The following is an 8,041-nucleotide window of genomic DNA, read 5'->3' as shown; positions in this document are numbered from 1 at the left end:
CCTCCATGCCCACAGGCACTCAGCCTCCCTTGATCACCCCTCCCTCGTCAGTTCTTTACATAGCAGGGGCTTTGACCTGTGCTTTATCCCCATTGCTTTGCTTTGTGACTTAGACCGGGGAAAGATAGTTGGCCCCTCCCACCTCCCTCTCCATCACCCTCCTTTGCCAAGCAGCGTGTGGGGAAATGTTTCTGGCTCAGATGGTTGAATATCTCAATTGCTTACAACATTCTGCTCTGAAAACGTCTCTTTGGTCTCTATTATTTGTGGCTTATGCGTCAAAGTTATCTGCTGGCAACTTGACAATGGCAGAGTCCGTTAACAAGCATCCCTGGCAGGACTTCATTGTTTTTAAGCACTTCCCTGGTTTTTATCTTATTTAACTCTTAGATTTTTGCTCACGTGGTGCTAAAATCCAACTGCCTGCGTCTTCCCCATGGATCCCAGCTCTGCACCCTGGACCCACAGACTCTGCTTGCTCTGCCTGCCTGGAGAGAGGGGACGAAGGGTGTTGATCTTCTGAGGTCACTCTTCTCCATGGTGAGCAGCTCACGCCTTACAACCACTCCTCAGGGACGTCGCCAACCCAGTGATGCTGTTCAGGGAGCTCCAGCCCCATACCCTGAGTTTGTTCACAACCTTCTGGGAGCATGGAGTCCAGCAGTGCCCCAGAGGTGATATGACCAGTACTGTTTCTAAATTGTCTTTCACCTCCCACCTCCTGACCACTGCCTCTATTAATGTAGCCTCAGAATGAATGAGCTTGACCTGGCTTATAGAGCCATCATCTACCATTGGTGTCATGCCCTTCCTGGAGCCTAGAGGTGGCCCAGCTGACAGCCTAGGAACCGAGCCAGGTCAGAATCCCCAACTTGTTACCAGGATCCTCCTGACACAGCCCCACATTATGGAGCAGAAAAGGGATCCTGGGCTCTGAATTCAGGCTGACCTGGGTTTGAGTCCCATCTCTACAAGTCAGCATTGATGTGACCCAGGGAAATTCCTCACCTCTCCAGGCCTCAGGCCACTCTTGGATAGAATGGAGATGATAACACACGCCTCATGGAATATTTACTTGATAAAATTAAGTGCTCATGGCCGGGCACGGTAGCTCACACCTGTAATCCCAGCACTTCAGGAGGCCAAGGCAGACAGACCACTTGAGGTCACGGGTTCAAGACCAGCCTGGCCAACATGGTGAAACCCCGTCTCTATTAAAAATACCAAAATTATCCAGGCATGGTGACGGGCACCTGTAGTCCCAGCTACTCAGGGGGCTGAGGTACGAGAATTTCTTGAACATGGGAGGCGGAGGTTGCAGCAGGCCGAGATGGTGCCACTGCACTCTAGCCTGGGTGACAGAGTGAGACTCTGTCTAAAAAAAAAAAAAAAAATTAAGTGCTTACTGCAGACTATATCAAATGATGGAGATGACTGCTCAGAAAGGGGCAGTGGGGAGTGAAGCTGTGTTAATTACATTTCACAGCGTGCTGGGCACCAGACTGGGTGTGTCACCCACTGGGGGCCTCCTGTGAGCCTCACATCAGCCCCCGGGTGGAGAGTAGTCCAGGCAAAACACAGAAGAGTTGCCACTGGAGTCCAGCCCTGTGTGATGTCAGAGTTCTCTCTGGCCCCTGTATCATGGTCTCCCACCAAGTCTGCTAAAGTTCTGGGTCTTCCACCCTCTTCTTTCCCCTGGTATCCCAGCCAGAAACCTCTCTGAGCCCTGGAGCCCTGGAGCCCTGGAGCAGCTATGGTGCCCGTTTGTGGGCCACATTCCTGGGCCTGCTACAAGCCTCCCTGCCTGGCTTTCTGAGCACCAGTTGTGTGCTGGGTGTTTCCTGCTGCCTGAGGCAGATCCCTTCCCCAAGGAGCTCCTGTGCCTTTAATGCTGTCTCCATGGAGGTAACAGGTAATGCAGCCCTCACAAGTACACATCACCTTGCAGTTTACAAAGCCCATCATCTAAATCTCACTGCAACCCTGAGAGGTGGGCATTATCCTCCCCATTTTATGGGTGAGGAAACTGAAGCTCAGAGAGGCAAGTGGCTGATCTAGAAATGCCCGAGTCTATGCTCCGGGCAACAGAAAGATCCCCGACTATCACAGCTTCATTGTGCACCTGCTCTAGGACACTGAGCAAGTCTTTTCCTCGATCAGCTCCTCAATTTCTTGTCATGAAAGTCAAGGGTTGGAATAGCTGGTTTCTAAAGAGCCCCCAGCTCCTCTCCGAGCCCATAACACGTGTAATAAATGCCACCATGTCAGGGGAAGGAGAAATGATTTCAGGACGGGATTAGCCACAGAGGAACTAGTTTCTGAACTGGGTCTTTGTGGATACTAGAATATGAGTTGGCAGGGAAGTCATTCTGGAAGGGAAAGTGCAAGTGCAAATGTAGGATGGGGGTGACCCATAGTAAATTAAACTGACAGGGAATCTGAGGCTAAGAGAGCTGAGCTTCCTTGTCTCGGGTTATACATTCAATGGTGAAGTTTGTATTCAAGCCTAGGGTAGGCTGTGCTTCCGCTGTCTGGATACTAGAATTTTGGGTCAAAATACTGATGCTGAGGGCTCTTCTGCAGAGATTCTAATGCAATTAATCTTGACCTAGACCTGTCTTGGCAGGAGTGTGCTTGGGGCCTGTGGTTCCTGAGCACTGGTGTCCTTGGGGACCACCCCATTGATATGACCACCTGCCTGAGCCAGTGCCATGTGCTTCAGACTTGCTCCATGTCATCTGTGGGAAGGGGGCTGCTATATGCCCATGTGTAGCTGGAATCACGTGATGCTAGTAAAGCGCTGTCTGCTCCAGCCCTATGTCCTGGTGTATTAGTCTGTTCTCATGCTGTTATGAACTATCTGAGACTGGGTAATTTATAAAGGAAAGAGGTTGGCCGGTCGTGGTGGCTCACACCTGTAATCCCAGCACTTTGGGATGCTGAGGTGGGTGGATCACCTGAGGTGAGGAGTTAGAGACCAGCCTGGCCAACATGATGAAATCCTGTCTCTACTTAAAATATAAAAATTAGCTCAGCATGGTGGTGGGCACCTGTAATCCTAGCTACTCAGGAGGCTGAGGCAGGAGACTTGCTTGAACCTGGGAGGCAGAGGTTGCAGTGAGCCGAGATCGCTTCACTGCACCACTCCAGTCTGGGTGACAGAGCAATTCTCAGTCTCAAAAAAACAAAAAACAAAATAAAAAAAAGGGAAAGAGGTTTAGTTGACTCACAGTTCTGCAGGGCTGGGGAGGCCTCAGGAAAGTTATTACGATTATGGGGGAAGGGGAAGCAAACATGTCCTTCTTCACACAGCTTCAGGAAGGAGAAGTGCTGAGCAAAAGGGGGAAAAGCCCCTCTCAAAACCATTAGATCTCATGAGAACTCACTCACTATCATGAGACAGCATGGAGGTAACCACTCCCGTGATTCAATTACCTCCCACCAGGTACCTCCCATGACATGCGTGGATTATGGGAACTACAATTCAAGCTGAGATTTGGGTGCGGACACAGCCAAACCATATCATTCCACCCCTGGCCCCTCCCAAATCTCATGTGCTCACATTTCAAAACACAATCATGCCTTCCCAACAGTCCTCCAAAGTCTTAATTCATTCCAGTATTAACCCAAAAGTCCAAGTGCAAAGTCTCATCTGAGACAAGGCAAGTCCCTTCCGCCTATGAGCCTGCAAAATCAAAATCAACTTAGTTATTTCCTAGATACAACGGGGGTACAGGCATCGGGTAAATACATGCATTCCAAATGGGAGAAATTGGCCAAAACAAAGGGGCTCCAGGCCCCATGCAGGTCCAAAATCCAACGGGGCAGTTATTAAACCTTAAAGTTCCAAAATGATCTTCTTTGACTCTATGCCTCACATCCAGGGCACACTGATGCAAGAGGTGGCAGCTTTGCATCCCATGGCCTTGGGCAGCTCCACCCCTGTGGCTTTGCAGGGTACAGCCCTGCTCCTTGCTGCTTTCATAGGCTGGTGTTGTGTGTGGCTTTTCCAGGCGTACAGTGCAAGCTATCGGTGGATCTACCATTCTGCAGTCTGGAGGATGGGGGCCCTCTTCCTACAGCTGCACTAGGCAGTGCCCCAGTGGAGACTCTGTGTGGGGGCTCTGACCCCACATTTCCCTACTGCACTGTCCTAGCAGAGGTTCTCCATGAGGACTCCACCCCTGCAGCAGACTTCTGCCTCAACATCCAGGCCTTTCCATATATCCTCTGAAATCTAGGTGGAGGTTCTCAAACCTCAATTCTTAACTTCTGTGCACCAGCAGGCCCAACACCATGTGGAAGCTGCCAAGGCTTGGGGCTTGCACTCTCTGAAGCAATGGCATGAGCTGTACATTGGCCCCTTTTAGCCACAGCTGGAGTGGCTAGGACTCAGGGCACCAAGTCCTAAGGCTGCACACAGCAGGGGGGCCCTGAACCTGGCCCAGGAAACCATTTTTCCCTCCTAGGCCTCCGGACCTGTGATGGGAGGGACTGCCAGGAAGGTCTCTGACATGTCCTGGAGACATTTTCCCCATTGTCTTGATGACTAACATTTGGCTCCTTGTTACTTTTGCAAATTTCTGTAGCCAGCTTGAATTTCTCCCCAGAAAATGGGGTTTTTCTATCACATCATTAGGCTGCAAATTTTCCAAACTTTTATGCCCTGCTTCCTCTTGAACACTTTGCTGTTTAGAAATTTCTTTCACCAGATACCTTAAATCATCTCTCTCTAGTTCAAAATTCCATAGATCTTTAGGGGAGGGGCAAAATGCCACCAGTCTCTTTGCTAAAGCATGGCAAGAGTCACCTTTGCTCCAGTTCCCATGAAGTTTTTCATCTCCATCTGAGACCACCTCAGCGTGGATTTCATTGTCCATATCACTATCAGCATTTTGGCCAAAACCATCCAACAAGTCTCTAGGAAGTTTGAAACTTTCCTACATATTCCCGTCTTCTTCTTGGCCCTCCAAACTTCCAACCTCTGCCTATCACCCAGTTCCAATGTCTCTTCCACATTTTTGGGTATCTTTATGGCAGCACCCCACTCTCTGTGGTACCAATTTACTGTATTAGTCTGTTCTCACACTGCTATAAAGAACTACTCAAGACTGGGTTATTTATAAAGCAAAGACTCAGTTCAGCAAGGCTAGGGAGGCTTCAGGAAACTTACAATCATGGCAGAAGGGGAAGCAAACACATCCCTCTTTACATGGAAGCAGAAAGGACAAGTGTGGAGCAAAAGGGGGAAAGCCCCTTATAAAACCATCAGATCTTGTGAAAACTCACTCACTATCATGAGAACAGCAGTATGGGAGTAACTGCTCCCATGATTCAATTACCTCCCACTGGGTCCCTCCCATGACACTTGGAGATTATGGAAACTACAATTCAAGATTTGGGTAAGGACACAGCCAAACCTTATCATCTGGCTATACTAGTCATTCCTAGGCAGAGGCCTTAACTCCTCTGAGCATAGCATCCCACTCATAAATCTAATCATGTACACTAACTGGATATTTAGTGATGTAAGGGAAAAATCATTACTTCTTAGATGTGTTAATGTATTGGGAATATGTTTTCAAAGAGCCCTTATCCTCCAAAGAGGAGATCCATACTGAAGTATTTATGAATGAAATTACAGAATACATGGGGTTCGCTTCAAAACAATCTGGATATTTGGGAGATGATAAAACATGAAGTGATAATAGTTGATACTGGGTGATGAGTATATAGAAGTTCATTGTCATTTGAATGATGTGTAAAAAAATAGAAGTTCATTATACCATTCCCTCTAATTTTGGATGTGTTTGACATTTCTATAATCAACAAGTTCTTAATCCTAAAAATTTGATAGTACATACAGATACTTATCGATGAAGAGTCAAACGCTGTAAAATATTTGAAGTGATTTATTCTGTGCCAAATATGAGTGATCAATGGGCTGTGATGCAGCCCTTAGGAGATCCTAAGAACATGTGCCCAATGTGGTTGGGCCACAAGTTGGTTTTATACATTTTAGGGAGACATAAGGCATTAATCAAGACATGTAAGATATATATTGGTCAGGAAAGGCAAGACTAGAAGCGGCTGGGTGGGGGCTTCCAAGTCAGAGGGCAGTTTCAAAGATTTTCTGACTGGCAATTGCTTGAAAGAGTTATTATCAATAACAAGGAATCAATAGAAAGGAATATCTGGGTTATGGTAAAGGATTGTGGAGACCAATGTTTTATCATGCAGATGAAGCCTCCAGATAGCAGGCTTCAGAGAGAATAGATTGTAAATATTTCCTATCAGATTTAAAGAAGCTTTTCTTCCTTCTGAGAACTGGAACAAGACAAGAATGCCCACTCTTACCACTTCTCTTCAACATAGTACTGGAAGTCCTAGCCAGAGCAATCAGACAAGAGAAAGAAATAAAGGGCATCCAAATTGGTAAAGAGGAAGTCAAACGGTTGCTGTTTGCTGATGTTATGATTGTATACCTAGAAAACCCTAAAGACTCCTTCAAAAAGCTCCTAGAACTGATAAAAGAATTCAGCAAAGTTTCCAGATACAAAATTAACGTACACAAATCAGTAGCTCTTCTATACACCAACAGCGACCAAGCTGAGAATCAAATCAAGAATTCAACCCCTTTTACAATAGCTGCAAAACAAAACAAAACAAAGCAAAAAAAACCAAAAACAACTTAGGAATATACCTAACCAAGGAGGTGGAAGACCTCTACAAGGAAAACTACAAAACAATGCTGAAAGAAATCATAGACCACACATGCAAATGGAAATGCCTCCCATGTTTGCGGAAGGATAGACTCAATATTGTGAAAATGACCATACTGCCAAAACAGTCTACAAATGCAATGCAATTCCCATCAAAATACTGCATAATTCTTCACAGAACTAGAAAAAACAATTCTAAAATTCATATGGAAACAAAAAAGAGCCCACATAGTCAAATCAAGACTAAGCAAAAAGAACAAATCTGGAGGCATCAGATTACATGATTTCAAACTATACTATAAGGCCATAGTCACCAAAACAGCATGGTACTGGTATAAAAATAGACACATAGACCAGAAATAAACCCAAATACTTACAGCCAACCGATCTTTGACAAAGCAAACAAAAACATAAGGTGGGGAAAGGACACCCTATTCAACAGTGGTGCTGGGATAATTGGCAAGACACATGTAGGAGAATGAAACTGGATCTCTCACCTTATACAAAAATCAACTCAAGATCGATCAAAGACTTAAATCTAAGACCTGAAACTATAAAAATTCTAGAAGATAACATCAGACAGACCCTTCTAGACATTGGCTTAGGCAAGGGTTTCATGACCAAGAACCTAAAAGCGAAAAAACGATAAAAACAAAGATAAATAGCTCGGACTTAAATTAAAGAGCTTTTTGCATGGCAAAAGCAACAGTGAGCAGAGTAAACAGACAACCCACAGAGTGGGAGAAAATCTTCCCAATCTACTCATCTGACAAAGAATAGTATCCAGAATCTACAATGAATGCAAACAAATTAGCAAGAAAAAAAAAATCTCATCAAAAAGTGGGCTAAGGACGTGAATAGACAAATCTCAAAAGAAGATATACAAATGGCCAACAAACATATGAAAAAATGTTCATCATCACTAATGATCAGGGAAATGCAAATCGAAACGACAATGCAATAGCACCTTACTCCTGCAAGAATGGCCATAATCAAAAAATCAAAAAATAATAGATGTTGGCATGGATGTGGTGAACAGGGAACCCTTCTACACAGCTGGTGGGAATGTTAACTAGTACAACCACTGTGGAAAACAGTGTGGAGAGTCCTTAAAGAACTAAAAGTAGAACTACCATTTCATCTAGCAATCCCGCTACTGGGTGTCTACCCAGAGGAAAAAAAGTCATTATATGAAAAAGATACTTCACATGCATGTTTGTAGCAGCACAGTTCTCAATTGCAAAAATGTGGAACCAACCCAAATGTCCATCAATCAATGAGTGGATAAAGAAACTGTGGTGTATATATATGATGGAATG

This window comes from Homo sapiens, chromosome 22 (assembly GCF_000001405.40).
Source record: "Homo sapiens chromosome 22, GRCh38.p14 Primary Assembly".
Lineage (NCBI taxonomy): Eukaryota > Metazoa > Chordata > Mammalia > Primates > Hominidae > Homo > Homo sapiens.
Note: the sequence above shows the minus strand (reverse complement) of the source record.